General features: G+C 45.9%; 1 non-coding gene and 1 pseudogene across 1 annotated transcript; both read left to right on the top strand.

Moving 5' to 3' along the window:
• The first annotated feature begins 8,450 nt into the window (after positions 1-8,450).
• LOC124900400 (small nucleolar RNA SNORA40) lies at positions 8,451-8,578 on the top strand. The gene has a single exon (XR_007065994.1). It is a non-coding gene; the product is annotated as a small nucleolar RNA SNORA40 (small nucleolar RNA).
• RNY4P2 (RNY4 pseudogene 2) lies at positions 16,211-16,303 on the top strand (annotated as a pseudogene).

Genomic DNA, 18,058 nt, shown 5'->3' with positions numbered 1-18,058 from the left:
TGGCATGATTTTGGCTCACTGCAACCTCCGCTTCCTGGGTTCAAGCAATTCTTGTGCCTCAGCCACCCAAGTAGCTGGGATTACAGGTGTGTGCTACCAAAAATTTCCTTCAACCCTGCCACTGAGTTACCCAATTTCTTTCTCCAGAATCAATCACTTAATTTTTTTGTTTTAGATGGAGTTTCGCTCTTGTTGCCCAGGCTGGAGTGCAATGGCGCAGTCTCCGCTCACTGCAACCTCCGCCTCCCGAGTTCAAGCAATTCTCCTGCCTCAGCCTACCGAGTAGCTGGGATTACAGGCATGTGCCACCATGCCCGGCTAATTTTGTATTTTTAGTAGAGATGGGGTTTCACCATGTTGGCCAGGCTGGTCTCGAGCTCCTGACCTCAGGTAATCCGCCGGCCTCGGCCTCCCAAAGTGCTGGGATTACAAGTATGAGCCACCATGCCTGGCCTTTTTTTTTTTTTTTTTTCCAGATATAGTCTCACTCTGTTGCCCAGGCTGGAATGCAGTGGCACAATCATGGCTTACTGCAGTCTCAACCTCCTGGGAACAGGTGATCCTCCCACCTCAGCCCTCTGAGTAGCTGGGACTAGAGGTGTGCACCACCACACCTGGCTAATTTTTTGTATTTTTTCTAGAGACAGTGCTTTGCCGTGTTGCCCACACTAGTCTTGAACTCCTGGGCTCTAGCAATTTGTCCACTTTGGCCTCCCAGTGTTGGGATTACAGGCGTGAGCCACCATGCCCAGCCTGTTACCAATTTCTTATATATCCCTCTGGTAGTATTTTAAAAAATAGATGTACATAAATCTTCCCTCTTTTTAAACATAAATGGTAGCACATTGTATACTCTTCTGCATCTTGCTTTTCTCAGAGTGCCATGTTTTAGATAAAACCATAGTGTAACACTCATGCTATACAAAATGGGTCCATTAGTGGGAGAAAGGGAAATGTTTGCTTCACAGAAGCTTCCTTACTTTTGTAGAAGGACTCAGGCAGGATCTTGAACAGAGACCCATGTGAATTTGTCTCTGTGTGAGATCTCTGTCCCTCTCTGTGTTTGTTTCTTTAGGGTGTGCCTTAGTCTGATCTGACTGCTATAATAACAAAAACTAGGTAGCTTATAAACAACAAAAATGTATTTCTCACAGTGGAGGCTGGGAAGCTGGCAAATTCAGTGTCTGGTGTGAAGGTTCAAATACTGGTTCAGGAATAGCCATCTTTTTGCACCCTTGGTGCAAAGGGTAAGGGGTCTTTCTTGGGCCTTTTTTTTTTTTTTTTTTTTTTGAGACAGATGGAGTTTCACTCTTGTTGCTCAGGCTGAAGTGCAATGGTGCAATCTCAGCTCACTGCAACCTCCACCCCCTAGGTTCAAGTGATTCTCCTGCCTCAGCCTCCCGAGTAGCTGGGATTACAGGCGCCTGCCATCCCACCCAGCTAATATTTTGTATTTTTAGTAGAGATGGGGTTTCACCATGTTGGCCAGGCTGGTCTCGAACTCCTGACCTCAGGTGATCCGCCTGCCTCAGCCTCCCAAAGTGCTGGGATTACAGGCATGAGCCTCCGCACCCAGCCCTCTCGGGCCTCTTTTATAATGCACTAATTTCATTCACGAAGGCTCTGCCCCCGTGACCTAATCACCTGCTAAAGGGCCCACCTCCTGATACCACTTAGGGGGTTAGGATTTCAACATATGAATTTTTAGGGGTACACAAAGATTCAGAACACAGGTGCAACAACAAGAACAGTGACCTGGGAGGCCACTCTTGCTCACTACCACTCAGGTGGGTTCTTGTCACTTAGACCTAGAGCAACCATGTAATTTTAATATCCAGAGTTAGGCAAACCTCATGCCAGAACAACAGTCAGAAACCCAGACGGTGTTAAGGTAGCCTGGATGTCTGGTCCCCCTGCTGAGACTCCCTGAGCTTCAGTTTCTTGACCTGAAAATGGACACATGAACTGGGTGTCCTAAGAAGGAAGGAACCTTATGAAATAATTAAGAAAAGCCATAAACACTTGAGCAAATTATGTGAAAATGGTAATTGGTTGTATAAAGAAAGAGAAAATAAAGCAGCAGTTTTTGAACTGGTGATGTCATTCTTGCCTGTCACTGAGGCCCTAATCCAATGCCCCAGGGAGAGGGGGAGAAGAACAGAGTGTGTTCAGGGGAAGGGGTGGATTGTCTTTTATGAGGTTCACCAGGAAACAAAATGAGTTCATTTATTGGAGTAATCAAGTTTTAGGTACACACACAGGTTATATATTCTGGAATGTTACTATAACCCACTTTACGGCACAGAAATAGTAAGGGGGACTCCTTGGCTTCTAAGGAAATTTTTTTATGTGCGTACCCATAAATTGCTGAAGACAGCTGCTGTAGCTTCCACTAAGGTGATGCATGTAGGTACTAGAACAGATGTTAGTATGAAAGATGAAAGGTATCAGGTGGAAGAGACCCAGAGCAGTAGACAGACTGAATTCAGGGCCGGCGCTGTGGCTCATGCCTGTAATCCCAACACTTTGGGAGGCTGAGGCAGGTGGATCACCTGAGGTCGGGAGTTTGAGATCAGCCTGACCAACATGGGAAAAACCCCGCCTCTACTAAAAATACAAAATTAGCCAAGTGTGGTGGCGCATGCCTGCAATCCCAGCTACTCTGGAGGCTGAGGTAGGAGAATTGCTTGAACCCGGGAGGCGGAGGTTGCAGTGAGCCAAGATCGCGCCGTTGCACTCCATCCAGCCTAGGCAACAAGAGCAAAGCTCCGTCTCAAAAACAACAACAACAACAACAACAACAACAAACACACACAGACTGAATTCAGGAAGGCATTGTGCCAGTGTCCTGTGCTCCACCCTGCCTTGGAGTCCTGAGTGGAAACCAGTGAGTCGGCCAAGCTGTGCTAGAATGCCAGATCTGTCCCTGAATGAGAACTTAAATAAACTCTAGGGTTTATTTAAAACCTGGTACCAAAAGGAAAACAGACAGTGTTTGCCCTAATGAAAAAAATCTTTTTCAGAAAGCGTCTCTGTCTCCCATTCCTTTCCTGAATTTGATCCAAACTATGACTAGTGTTCTCAACAGAGGGCAAGTAGGGATGTTTGGGAACGAGTGATGGAGGAATTTCCTTCTTTCTTTAGAAAGGTCTGTATCTTCTGTGCAAAATACTACAGGCAGAGTGCCAGGCTTCAAACTAAGGAATAAGTAGGACTTAGTTAACTGACCTGGAGTTGTGTCTGGAGCAGAAGAGGCTCTCACAGGGACAGCTTTCTCTTTTGCTGAGCCATAAACTCCCTGCAGAAGTGACCTGTGGCAGAGGCCTGTTAGTAAATATCCCTGTTCATTTTAAAACACCAACCTCAAAGCCAAGAGTTTGGAGGAGGGAGAGGGGTTGAGGAGTTGTTGGTCAAAGGATACACACTTTTAGTTAGATAGGAGGAATAAGTTTTTTGATTTTTTTTTTTTTTTTTTGTCTGCTTGTGGGCTTGTTTGCTTTTTTTTTTTTTTTAGACAAGGTCTTACTCTGTTTCCTGGGCTGGAGTGCAATGGAAATCTTGTCTCATTGCAGCCTCGACTTTCCTGGGCTCAAGCGATCCTCCCACTTCAGCCTCCTGAGTAGCTGGGACTACAAGCACACACCACCGCACCTGGCTACTTTTTCTACTTTTGTGGAGACAGGGTCTTGCCATGTTGCCTAGGCTTGTCTTGAACTCTTGAGCTCAAGTGATCTTCCTGCCTTGGCCTCCCGAAGTTCTGGGATTACAGGCCTGAGCCACCTTGGTTGGCCAAGATAGGAGAAATAAATTTAAGATAACTGTAGTACTACACAATGACTATAGGTGTTTAATAACAATGTATTAGGCCAGGCGTGGTGGCTCATGCCTGTAATCCCAGCACTTTGGGAGGCTGAGGCAGATAGATCACTTGAGGTCAGGAGTTCGCGACCAGCCTGGCCAACATGGTGAAACTCCATCTCTACTAAAAATACAAAAATTAGCTGAGCATGGTGGCACACACCTGTAGTCCCAGCTACTCAGGAGGCTGAGGCAGGAGAATCACTTGAACTCCGGAGTCAGAGGTTGCTGAGCCGAGATTGCGCCGAGATTGTGCCACTGCCCTCTAGCCTAGGCAAAAGAGCAAGACTCAATCTCAAAAAAACAAAACCACTGAAAACTAATGTATTGTATTCTTGAAAATTGCAAAGAGAGTAGTTTTTTTTTTTTGAGACGGAGTTTCGCTCTTGTCGCCCAGGCTGGAGTGCAGTGGTATGATCTCAGCTCACGGCAACCTCCTTGTCCTGGGTTCAAGCGATTCTCCTGCCTCAGCCTCCCGAGTAGCTGGGATCACAGTCACCCACCACCATGCCCAGCTAATTTTTGTATTTTTAGTAAAGACAGGGTTTCACCATGTTCACCAGGCTGGTCTCGAACTCCTGACTTCAGGTGATCCACCCGCCTCAGCCTCCCAAAGTGCTGGGATTACAGGCGTGAGCCATTGTGCCTGGCCTACAATTTTATATGTATCAATTAAAATTAGTTAATTATTTAAGAGGCCAAGTGTTTCAGAAAAGAAGGGAGGAATCAACATTTTCTTCTGTGAAAATGCAAGTTCTCCCTTTCATAATACATAACTTGTGTTGTTGTTGACTTGTGCATATGATACATAATCACAGAATTCATTTGTTTATACGACAGATGTTTATTGAGAGTGTAGTGTGTGCCAAGCATTGTACCCAGCACTGGGGCCACACTGGTGAGTAATCTGGCCGTGGTCCCTGTTATGGCATTTACAGCTGTGGAGAAGGAAGATAAGAAAGAAACAATCCAATACATGTAAAAGTATAAATTCTGTTGAATCTGAGAGGAAGAGAGCAGGTAAACGAATAGAGAATAATGGGAGGAAGAGGGTAGGAGAGGGTAGTGGTGTTGTCAAAGGAGGCTGGGGGAGGATTTAGTTTTCTCATAATTTCCAGCATCCAGGCCATCTGAAATAAAGCAAACATAGTTTAATAGACAACACAATTTTTTTTTTTTTTTTTGAGATGGAGTCTCATTCTTTCACCCAGGCTGGAGAGAAGCGGCACAATCTTGGCTCACTGCAACCTCTGCCTCTCGGGTACAAGAGATTCTCCTGGCTCAGCCTCCCAAGTATCTGGGACTACAGGTGTGCGCCACCACACCCAGCTAATTTTTTGTATTTTTAGTAGAGACGGGGTTTCACTGTGTTAGCCAGGATGGTCTCAGTCTCCTGACCTCATGATCCACCTGCCTTGGCCTCCCAAAGTGCTGGGTTTACAGGCATGAGCCACTGCACCCAGCCAGCAACACAAGTTTTTAGACAAGTGTGAGACCAAGTAGCAAACATAAGCTATGTTTGCCCATTTCTGCTTGCCAGCATAATTTTCCAAAGCTTCTGACTCTGTGAAGACCTGCAGCTCTCCAGAAAGATGCTTTGAAGACAACAAAACAGAATACACAGCCCCCATGTCTCTTGTCCTCTTGCCGGAGTCACTGCATTCCTTAAAAGATGAATGACCTCCAGCCTGGGCAACATGGCAAAACCTCATCTCTACAAAAAAATACAACAATTGGCTGGGCGTGGTGGTGTGCACCTGTAGTCTCAGCTATTTGGAAGGCTGAGGTGGGAGGATTACCTGAACCTGGGGAGGTTGAGACTGCAGTGAGCCATGATTGTGCTACTGCATGCCAGCCTGGGTGATGGAGTGAGACCCTGTCTCAAAAAAAAAAAAAAAAAAAAAAAAAAAAAGAATGGCCTTAATCCCTGGCTTTTCCTATACATAAGATGACATCTGACGGGGTTAGTGATGATGCCTCTGTGATCTAGGACCAGATGTACTCTGACACACAAATCTTGCTGTGATTCTGCTTTCATGTAATTCTGAGCAAGTCTGATGGGATTTTGCACATACAGAACCTCCACCCCTATATATAAGCAGGGATCTGAAACACTGGGCCAGAGCCTGCTCCTAGGCTAGAGGCCTCAATCTATAGTCTTCAGCAAGACTTCTGAATAAAGTTAACTTTAATTCTTTAAAAGCTTGATATTTTTCTTTACTTGATGGAAGTCTGCTGGTTTCCCTTCCAACCACATGGCCATGCATAAGCCCCCCTCTTTTTTTTTTTTTGAGACAGGGTCTCGCTGTGTCACCCAGGCTGGAGTACAGGGTACAGTGATGTGATCGTGTCTCACTGCAGCCTTGATCTCCTGGACTCAAGCAATTCTTCCGCCTCAGCTGCCTGAGTAGTTGGGACTACAAGCATATGCCACCGCATTCGCCTAATTTTTAAAATTTTTGTAGAGACAGGGGTCTCACTATGTTGCCCAAGCTGGTCTAGAACTGTGTTCAAGTAATCCTCCTGCTTCAGTCTCCCAAAGTGCTGAGATTATGGCCGGGTGTAGTGGTTCATGCCTGTAATCCCAGCACTTTGGGAGGCCGAGGCAGCAGGATCGCTTGAGGTCAGGAGTTCAAGACCAGCCTGGCCAACATAGTGAAACCCCATTTCTACTAAAAATACAAAAAGTAGCCGGGCATTGTGGTGCGCACCTGTAGTCCCAGCTACTCAGGAGGATGAGGCAGGAGAATCGTTTGAACCCGGGAGGTGGAGGTTGCAGTGAGCCAAGATCATGTCACTGCACTCCAGCCTGGGTCACAGAGTGAGACTCCATGTCAAACAAACAAACAAGCAAACATACCCAAAGTGCTGAGATTACAGGCATGAGCCACTGCACCCGGACTTCAGCCTTTTCTCTCCTTTTTTTTTGAGATGGAATCTTGCTCTGTTGCCCAGGCTGGAGTACAGTGGTGCAATCTCAGCTCACCACAACCTCCGCCTCCTGGGTTCAAGCAATTCTCCTGCCTCAGCCTCCCAAGTAGCTGGGACTACAGGTGTGTACTACCACGCCCGGCTAATTTTTGTATTTTTAGTAGAGATGGGGTTTCACTATGTTGGCCAGGCTGGACTCGAACTCCTGACCTCGTGATCCACCTGCCTTGGCCTCCCAAAGTGCTGGGATTACAGGCGTGAGTCACCATGCCCATCCTAGCCTTTTCTTTATAGAAATTCCAGAGCTGTGAATTGTCTGCCAGCCACAGAAGATGACCATTGTCTTGGGGTTACTGGATTCATCAATGAACCATACATATGTTGGGCACCTTTTATGTGGCAGCTACAAAGAAGCAAAGAATAAGACTGACATGAAACTTGCTTGCGTCACTTTACACTCTAAGAGCCTCTTCCACCACTGTTAAACCATTTCTTCTGACCCCATGAGGCCAACTTTTCTTCCCCTTAGCAGAAAGTAAGCCCTTTGTTAGACCTCAGCAGAAGAGGGTGACCAAGGCATAACAGCCTGAAAGAGACCTCATGAAGACAAACAAGAAGTTATGATTAATAAAAACCTCTGTCAAGGCCAGGCGCAGTGGCTCACACCTGTAATCCCAGCACTTTGGGAGGCTGAGGTGGACAGATCACCTGAGGTCAGGAGTTCAAGACTAGCCTGGCCAACATGGCGAAACCCCGTCTCTACTAAAAATACAAAATTTAGCCGGTGTGGTGGCGGGCGTCTGTAATTTCAGCTACTTGGGAGGCTGAGGCTGAAGAATCGCTTGAACCCAGGAGGCGGAGGTTGCAGCGAGCCAAGATCACACCACTGCACTCCTATTCTTGGGCAACAAAAGCGAAGCTCCATCTGGAAACGAAACAAAACAAAACAAAACAAAACAAAAAACGTCTGTCAGTTGCAAGTCTAAATAGTGAAAAGCCGACTTCAAACCATCGTGTAATTTTTATTGTATTATTGTTTGGCATCATTTAATTATTGGTTGGCATTAAATCAACACTTATATAGTTCTCCCAGGCGTTGTTCTGAGCACATTATAAAAATTAACTCATTTAATCGTCATAACAACCCCCATGAAATAGGTCTTTTTTTTTTTTTTTTTTTTTGATATGGAGTCTCACTCTGTCACCCAGGCTGGAGTGCAGTGGCGTGATCTCGGCTCACTGCAAGCTCCGCCTCCCGGGTTCACGTCATTCTCCTGCCTCAGCCTCCCAAGTAGTTGGGACTACAGGTGCCCGCCACCACGCCCGGCTAAGTTCTTGTTTTTTAGTAGAGACAGGGTTTCACCGTGTTCGACAGGATGGTCTCAATCTCCCGACCTCGTGATCCACCCGCCTCGGCCTCCCAAAGTGCTGGGATTACAGGCTTGAGCCACCATGCCCGGCCGAAATCGGTCTTAATGTCATCCCCATTTCACAGCTGAGGATACTGAGACACCAAGAGAAGGAGTTTGCCTAAAGTCACTTAGTAAATGGAAGGGCACATCTTTGAACTAGCAATCTGGCTCCAGAGTCCACTTACCTAACCCCGTGCAGTGTGGCCTCTCAGTAGTATGTCTACTAATGTACTTAAAAAGAGCACACGCTGCACTTATGTATGTTTTTGTTTAACTTGTGGACAAAGACTTATGGATAGGTGCAACAAATAAATCCTCTTTTGCAACCCAGAACTCATTGTTCAGCATGAGTTTTGATACATACAGGAAGGGATATTTTGATACCTGAGACAGTTAACTGATGGGAGTATTGATAGCCATAAAGGTTGGTTCCAGGCCAGGCACAGTGGCTCATGCCTGCAATGCCCACACTGAGGTGGGAGTATTGCTTTAAGCCAGGAGTTCAAGATCAGCCTGGGCAAGAAAGTAACACCTCATCTCCACAAAAATTTAAAAATTAGCTGGATATCAGGGCATGTGTCTGTAGTTGCAGCTACTCAGGAAGGGGAGGCTAAGGAAAGAGGATTGAGCCCAGGAGTCAGAGGCTGCACTGACCTTTGATGGCACCACTGTACCCCCAGCCTAGGTAACAAAGACAGACCGTGTCTCTTAATTTAAAAAAAAAGTTTCCTGGCTAACACGGTGAAAACCTGTCTCTACTAAAAAAACAAAAAATTAGCCGGGCATGGTGGCAGGAGCCTGTAGTCCCAGCTACTTGGGAGGCTGAGGCAGGAGAAGGGCGTGAACCCGGGAGGTGGAGCTTCCTGTGAGCCGAGATTGCACCACTGCACTCCAGCCTGGGCAACAGAGCGAGACTCCGTCTCAAAACAAAAAAAAAAAAAAAACAAAAAAAAACAAAGTTTATTCTAGGACTGTAGAATAGATAGTTAAACAGCATGGGATACGAGGGAAATCCTCAGTTGTATTAATTTTATATTCCAATTTCATGTTGACTTGATACATAGGATGGCTTTTTGTTTTAAAGGCTTTTATCTTGAGAGCATGATGTCTGGAGTTAAAGGTATTGGCATATTCCACACATCTGTACTATTCTTGAGTGCGATCGCTTAGGAATGAATATGATTTGAACTAAATTCATGTTTAGAGAGGGTGTCAAATTGAGAATCAGGCAGATCCACCTACACTAAAAATGACCTTAAAGTAAATTGGTTGAAGAAATTAGATCCTGTGGCCAGGCGCGGTGGCTCACACTTGTAATCTCAGCACTTTGGGACGCCAAGGCAGGCGGATCACGAGGTCAAGAGATTGAGACCATCCTGGCCAACATGGTGAAACCCCTTAGCTACTAAAAACACAAAAATTAGCTGGGTGTGGTGGGGCACACCTGTAATCCCAGCTACTCGGGAAGCTGGGGCAAGAGAATCACTTGAACCTGGGAGGCGGAGGTTGCCGTGAGCCAAGATCATGCCACTGCACTCCAGTCTGGCAATAGAGCTAGACTCCGTCTCAAAAAAAAAAAAAAAAAGAAATTAGATCCCAAAGATTCTTGGTGAATTTTGAAGTCTTCTTCAGTATATCCATATTAAAAGGAGATGACAGAAGCAAAAAAAAAAAAAAAAAATTATGGGCTGACAGGACAACTGGATTAAAATAAGCATCAGTTTCATTAAAAAGGGCTAACTTGAAGATAAATCTTTTGACTCCAGATCTTTAGAAGATCTAAAGTGACCTTGATGGACAGTGGAAGAAATCACAACACAAATGGAATTCCTTGAATAAAAATTGATTGACTTAAAAAAAAAGAGCATACAAATGGTACATGGCTGATAGCTGTTCTATCTTATAAACTAGATCTCTCAGGGTTAAATAAGTAATTTTAGGACTTGGGGTATTTAAGGATATTGAGGCTGTCTTGTGCTTTTGGTAAGGAAAAATAACCAAATAAGCAAGTTATAAATAGAAGTAAAAACCTTCCATTGTAATGTTGCCATGTAGCCTCTAATTTTACCTCTGTTAGGGCAGGTAGGCATATCAAAATGCTGGAACTGAAAAGCTAGAGGTTTATTCCCTATGGGGTCTGAAAGCTATGCCCCTAATCCCCTACATATAATTCTAAGCCTGTTTGTCTCCTGCTTTTTGTTACTCAGGGCTCGATCTCGATGGAGACAGTGTTACATGAGTTTCACTAACACTGCTAGAAAGTGTGTTTTTCCTGATTTTGGAACCTTGGTGGGGGTGAATTGGGGATTTCCACTTGGCTTGGAAAAGGCTGAAAATCTGCCTTGGTGAAAAAGTTTAGCTGCATAATTTTTCTTTGCTTTATCATTGCTACCTGTCACCAGCAAAATTAATCCATCCTGAGGTTTTGCATGAAACAATTTTTTAAAACATTAATCAATTAAGAACATTAAACATTTTTTTGACATGAGGTCTTGCTCTGTCACCCAGGCTGGAGTGCAGTGGCACAACGTAGCTCACTGTATCCTTGAACTCCTGGGCTCCATCTATCCTCCTGCCTCAGCCCTCGGAGTAGCTGAAACTACAGGCTCACATTACTATGTCCGGCTAATTTTAAAAGTTTTTTTTTTTTTGTGGAGATAAGGACTCTCTCTGTTGCCCGGGCTGGTCTTGAACTCCTGGCCTCAAGCAATCCTCCCACCTCAGCCTCCCAAAGTGCTGGGATTACAGGCATGAGCCCCATTTATTTTTTATAGAGACGGAGTCTGCTATGTTGCCCAGGCTGGCCTCAAACTCCTGGGCTCAAGCGATCCTCTCACCTCAGCCTCTCGAGTAGCCAGGACTGTAACTGGGCACCACCACACCTGGCTCTTTATTTACTTATTTAGAGATATTAAAACAATTTTGAATATCTCTGGCTCATGTAATTTTCTTCCTGCCCCAGACCAGAATCCTTTAGCAGTCTCAGTCTCAAAACTCAGGCACCATCCTTTGCAATTTAACAGCAGAGGGTGCTGTGAGCCTGTGGCTGCCAAGGCCTCCGCCAGAAGAAAAAGATTAAAGAGCCCCTCATTCAGCCAGCCTGAAAGGAGGCTTCTGGTTGTCCTGTGCCCTTGTGGCTTCTGATGACTTGCCCATGGGATGTGGAATATGGCGTTTCCCAAAACACAAGCAGGAAATCAAGGGACAAGCTATGGCCTTCTGGAAATTATCATCTCTATTTTTGACGAGTTTCAGTTCTTCTCCAATTAAATTGATGCTTGATATTTTGTGCATTTAACTCCATCATTCTAGCCAAACCGGAGATTTCTCTTTTTTTGTTTTTTTTTCTGAGACATAGTCTTGCCCTGTCACCTAGCCTGGAGTACAGTGGTGCGATCTCGGTTCACTACAACCTCTGCCTCCTGGGTTCAAGCGATTCTCAGCCTCCTGAGTAGATGGGATTACAGGCGTCCACCACCATGCTTGGCTCATTTTTGTATTTTTAGTAGAGACGGGGTTTCACCGTGTTGGCCAGGCTGGTCTCGAGCTCCTGACCTCAAGTGATCCAACCACCTCGGCCTCCCAAAGTGCTGGGATTATAGGCATGAGCCACCGCGCCCGGCCAGAAGACAAGACTTAAGGCCTGCAGCTCACTGAGGACTTCAACATTCATCATCACGTAAAGCAGCTGTTATGTTGCAATGTCTTTATCGGCAGTCTTCGGTCAGTTTCACTCTTTCCTATATCCTATATATTCCTCTTTCTTGAATTGTTCTCTTATTTTGCTGGAGTTCATCCAACAAATCGAATCAAATCAAATATTGTTTGTTTGCTGTTTGTCTACCAGTATCTCTGTTTTGTTTGTGTTGAGAATCTTGTCAATGTTTATAGCCCAGGCGACTGCTGATGCCAACAGAAGCCAGTCTTTGCAGCCCAGCTTTGCTCATATGTTGCCCTCATTGGGCCTCAGTGATCCACCCACCTCAGCCTCCCAAAGTGTTGGGATTACAGGCATGAGCCACTGCGCCTGGCCAGCAATCTATGATTTTGAAATGAATTTGAGAATTAATGAAGCAGGAGCAGTACACTTCCTACACCAACAAAGGCAAGCTGCCTGCAGTTAGGTAAGGCAAGGTTGGCAGGAGCAGTGGGACGGACAGATACTCTGATTTTATGTATAATCTTTTTTTTTCTTTTTTTTTTTTTTGAGACTGGGTGCAGTGGTGCGATCTTGGCTCACTGCAACCTCTGCCTTCCAGGTTCAAGTGATTCTTCTGCCTCAGCCTCCCAAGTAGCTGGGATTATAGGCGCCCACCATCACTCCTGGCTAATTTTTGTATTTCTAGTAGAGATGGGGTTTCACCATGTTGGCCAGGCTGGTCTTGAACTCCTGACCTCAGGTGATCCACCCACCCTGGCCTCCCAAACTGCTGGGATTACAGCCATTAGCCACTGTGCCAGACCTGTATAATCATTTTGAATGTAAAGAGTTGATTGTTGCTAACCACAATCATTTGTCCATGATGTGCTTCATTGTTTCTTTTTCCTTTGACTATCTTTTATAGGATAGTTTTATAGGATATTTTCAGGCAATATATTCAAATTATTTACCAATTGCTGTGGCATGAGCATTGACCAATTTCAACAAATATATATCGAGTGCCTACCATGTGCCAGCGGATACATTAGTGAACAAAACAACAATTCCCTTCCTAGTAGAGCTTATGTTCTAGTGATGCAGGCACTCAGAATAAACAGTACACATAACAAGTGATACATTATGTTGGTTTTTTTTTGAGACGGAGGCTCCCTCTATCACCCAGGCTGGATTACAGTGGTGTGATCCTGGCTCACTGCAACCCCCGCCTCCCAGGTTCAAGTGATTCTTGTGCCTCAGCCACCTGAGTAGCTGGGATTACAGGTGTGCATCACCACCCAGCTAATTTCCATATTTTTAGTAGAGCACAGGGGTTTCCCCATGTTGGCCACACTGTCTGGAACTCCTGGCCTCAGGTAATCTGCCCACCTCGGCTTCCCAAAGTGCTGGGATTACAGGCGTGAGCCACTTTGCCCCGCCATTATACATTGTGTTAAAAAGTGATAAGCACTAAGGGGGACATAAAAGGAAAAGTAGAAGGGAAGGGAAGGAGAATTGGGAATCCAGGAAGTAGGAGTGTGGAGAGGAAGGTAGTAGGGTGGGTTGAAATTTTAAATAGGGTGGTCCTGGAAGATCTCATTAAGAAACAGAAACAGGCTGGGGTCAGTGGCTCATGCCTGTAATCCTAGCACTTTGGGAGGCTGAGGCTGATCGCTTGAGCCCAGGAGTTTGAGACCAGCCTGGGCAACATGGCAAAACCTCATCTCTAAAAAAAAAAATACAAAAAAAATTAGCCAGGTGTGGTGGTGTGCACCTACAGTCCCAGGTACTCTGGAGGCTAAGATGGGAGGATCACTTAAGCCTAGCCTGCTGTGAACTGTGATTGCACCACTGCACTCCGGCCTGAGCGACAGTGAGACCCCCAAAAAACGGTGAAACTCAAAAAAAAAAAAAAGCCAGGTGCTGTGGCTCATGCCTGTAATCTCAGCACTTTTGGGAGGCCAAGGTGGGAGGATCATCTGAGGTCAGGAGTTCAAGACCAGCCTGGCCAACATGGTGAAACCCCGTCTCTATTAAAAATACAAAAAAATTAGCCGGGCATGGTGGTGGGCACCTGTAAACCCAGTTACTCGGGAGGCTGAGGCAGGAGAATCGCTTGAAGCTGGGAGGCGGAGGTTGCAGTGAACCAAGATTGTGCCATTACACTGCAGCCTGGGCAACAAGAGCTAAACTCCTTTGAAAGAAAGAGAAAGAAAGAGAGAAAGAAGAAAGAGAAAGAAGGAAGGAAGGAAGGAAGGAAAGGAGGGAGGGAGGGGAGGGAAAGACGATGGGAAGAGGAGGGGAGGGGAGGGGAGGGGAGTGGATGGGAGGGGAGGGAACTGAGAAATAAGCAGAGACTTGCCAGAGATGAGGGCATCAGGCAAACAGGTATCTGGGGGTAGAACACTGGAGGGGTGGGCAGGGCCAAGGCCCTATGGCTGGAGTGTGCTTGGCCTTCACCAGGGACCGCAGGGGCTGGAGGGGCTGAGTGGGGGCTGCAGGGAACAGTGGGAGGAGATGAAGTTAGAGAGAAAGGGGTCTTGTGGGCCCCTGTAAGGTTACAACTCTTACTGTGAGTGAGATCCCACCCCATGAAAGGTTTTAAGCACAAGGCCAGTGTCTGACGTTCTTTTCTTTCTTTCTTTCTTTCTTTTTTTTTTTTTTGAGATGGAGTTTTGCTCTTATTGCCCAGGCTGGAGTGCAGTGGTGCAATCTCGGCTCACCACAACCTCCACCTCCTGGGTTCAAGCGATTCTCATGCCTCAGCCTCCCGAGTAGCTGGGATTACAGGCATGCACCACCACGCCCAGCTAATTTTGTATTTTTAGTAGAGATGGGGTTTCTCCATGTTGCTCAGGCTGGTCTCGAACTCCCGACCTCAGGTGATCCACCTGCCTCAGCCTCCCAAAGTGCTGGGATTACAGGCGTGAGCCACCGCACCAGGCCCTCATTTTCAAGTAATCAGCACAGCTGCTGTGTTGAGAGACTGTAGGGGGAGGCAAAGGAGGGAGTAGAGGAGGCGGCATCTGTTTGGAGGCTGGCACTGTAATCCTGGTGAGAGGAGATGGAGACTCGGATCTGGGGGAGGAGTGGGTTTTGGACATACTTGATGATTGAAGGGAGGAGCGAGGGAAAGAGAGGAGTGAAGGATGCTCTGCTGGGGCTGGAACAAGGTTCTGGGGGTGCCTTGCTGGGCCCTTCATTGCTGTGGCCGTGTTGGGGGAATGGGGAGGTGCTGTAAGCAGACAGGAAGGGTCTCCAAGGATTATAGGGGTTTAGTCAACTTGAGCAATCAGCCAGTTCTACAGCCTCCCGCCCTGCAGCCTGTTTTCCCTAAACCCTGTGTGGAATGTGGTCCCCTTGTTTGTTGGAACCAGCTCCTGACAGACCCCAACTCATAGAGGAACCAGAGTGAACTTTCCTCATGACTGTGCTAGAGTCTGCACCCCAGCAGGAGCAACGGCTTCATTACCATCACGTGTAACCTATGGGCTGGCATGATGCCTCACTGCATCTGGACAATTGGGACCCCTCCTCTACTAGCGATGATGCACCCTCTCCCATTTCTATCACCCTGGAAAACCTTTCTGTTACTTTCCCTCGGGGAGACACTGCTTTGGAGAACACGCCCAGTGTCCTCCTTACTTGTGCCGAGTAAAACTCCTACTGATCAAAACCTGCGTTCTCCGAACAGGCGTGGTGGCTCATGCCTGTAATCCTAATACTTTGGGAAGCTGAAGCGGGTGGATCACCTGAGGTCAGGAGTTCAAGACCAGCCTGGGCAACATGGCAAAACCCCATCTGTACTAAAAATACAAAATTAGCCAGGTGTGATGGCACATGCCTGTAATCCCAGCTACTCGGGAGGCTGAGGCAGGAGAATCGCTTGAACCCAGGAGGTGGAGGTTGCAGTGAGCCGAGATCACGCCACTGCACCCCAGCTTGGGCAACAGAGTGAGACTCTGTCTCAAACCCCCCCACCCCCAAAACAAACAAAAAAAACTAACAAAAAACCCTGTGTTCTCATGGCAAGTCGTTTGTTACTTGCCAGGCGAACCAACCTCATTTTTTTCTTTCTGGTAACAGTGGCGGCAGCAGGGGCACTTGAGGAGCTCAGGCAGCCCATGTGTGTGTTCTGGTGCTTCAGGACTGAGTGCAGCTCTGGATGTTGTGATTATAGCTCAGCCTTTGCTTACTCATTTCTCTTAGAGGATGAGCCTAAAAGTAGGCTTGAATCTTAAACCTTTTTTTTAAATTAAAAAATTGGTTTTTTGATTGTTTAGTTAGGCAGCAGAGGAGTCTTCTTGTTTTTATGGGACGGTTGATTAAGTTTAACCACCCAGAAAGAAATGTTTCTCATTAAGAAACATTAGGCTGGTCCGATGGTAGTGGGTCATCAGAACTTATTAACATTAGTGTCACTAAAGTTGGTATACAACCCCCCATTGCTAAATTTCACTGGATTAAGAAAAAAAGAAACATTAGTTAAGAATAAAACAAAACACAGTTACCTGCCAGGTTTTTTTTTTTTTTTGCAATTGAGTCTTGCTCTCTCACCCAGGCTGGAGTGCAGTGGCAACGATCTCAGCTCACTGTAACCTCCAACTCCCGGGTTCAAGAGATTCTCCTGACTCAGCCTCTCGAGTAGCTGGGACTACAGGCGCCCGCCACCACACCTGGTTAATTTTTTTGTATTTTTAGTAGAGATGGGGTTTCACTGTTTTAGCCAGGATGTTCTCAATCGCCTGACCTTGTGATCCATCCACCTTGGCCTCCCAAAGTGCTGGGATTACAGGCGTGAGCCACTGCGCCCGGCCAAAAATGTTTTTTTAAAAAGAAAAGAAATTAGTGAAAGCATGAACTTTGGAGTCCACAGTTTTCACCCTGCCATTTTGATTGTGTGTTTTAACTCAGGTGACAAGGTGACATTTTCTCATAAATACATTTAAATCAGCATTCTACCAACACTGATGACTTTTCATTAAAACTCTATAAATTGCAGATTAATACACAAAACCACAAAGCAGAATAGTACAACTGACTCTTTTTTTTTTTTTTTTTTTGAGACAGAGTCTTCTTGTCTTGTGGCCCAGGCTGGAGTGCAGTAGTGCAATCAGAACTTATTGTAAACTCTAACTTCTGGGCTCAAAGGATTCTTCTGCCTCAGCCTCTCAAGTAGCTGGGATTATAGGTGCAAGCCACCACACCAGGCAATTGACTTTTAATATTTCTCACGTTTCTTTTTAACCTTTAGAGAAATCTCTGATGTATCTGATGAAATTTTTGTCTGCAGTTCAGTAGCTCTTTCAGTTTCATATTGATTTTTGATACTCTCTTCAAGAGGCATTGATGGATCTAGAAAAAAAAAGGTTTTTCATATTCTCAGTATTCTTTTTTTTTTTTTTTTTTTTGAGATGGAGTTTCACTCTTGTTGCCCAGGCTGGAGTGCAATGGTGCGATCTCGGCTCACTGCAATCTCTGCCTCCCAGGTTCAAGTGATTCTTCTGTCTCAGTCCCCGAGTAACTGGGATTACAGGCATGTGCCACCATGCCCAGCTAATTTTTGTATTTTTAGTAGAGACGGGGTTTCATCACATTGGTCGGTCTGGTCTTGAACTCCTGACCTCAGGTGATCAGCCCACCTTGGCCTCCCAAAGTGCTGGGATTACAGGCGTGAGCCACCACGCCCGGCCTACTTCTTTTTTCAAAATGTTAGCTTCAGTTATTTGTTTCTTTTGTAATTTCGTATTTTTGTGTTTTTTTGTAGAGATAGAGTCTCCCTATATTGCCCAGGCAGGTCTTGAACTCCTGGGCTCAAGTGATCCTCCTGCCTCAGCCTCCCAAAGTGCTGGGATTACACATGCGAGCCACTGTGCCTTGGCCCTCAGTTATTTCTGGATGATGAGATTGGAGTGATTTTTAGTTTCATCTTTATACTTTTCAGTAGTTTCCAACATTTCTGAATGAAATGATCTTCTTTGTAATTCATTTGTGTGATACTTTTCTAATGACAAAAAGCAAGATAAAGAGCCAGGTATGGTGACGTGCACCTACGTAATCCTAGCTGCTCAGGAGGCTGTGGCAGGAGGATCACTCAAGCCCAGGAGTTCGAGAGCAACCTGAGCATCATAACAAGACTCTGTCTCAACAAAAAAAATTAAGTTAAAATACTCTGTCAGAGCAATAAAGACCTTAAACTTCCCAAATGTCAACTCAGTAA

The sequence above is a fragment of the Homo sapiens genome, chromosome 17 (genome assembly GCF_000001405.40).
Source record: "Homo sapiens chromosome 17, GRCh38.p14 Primary Assembly".
NCBI lineage: Eukaryota > Metazoa > Chordata > Mammalia > Primates > Hominidae > Homo > Homo sapiens.
This window is presented reverse-complemented; position numbering and strand designations above follow the sequence as displayed.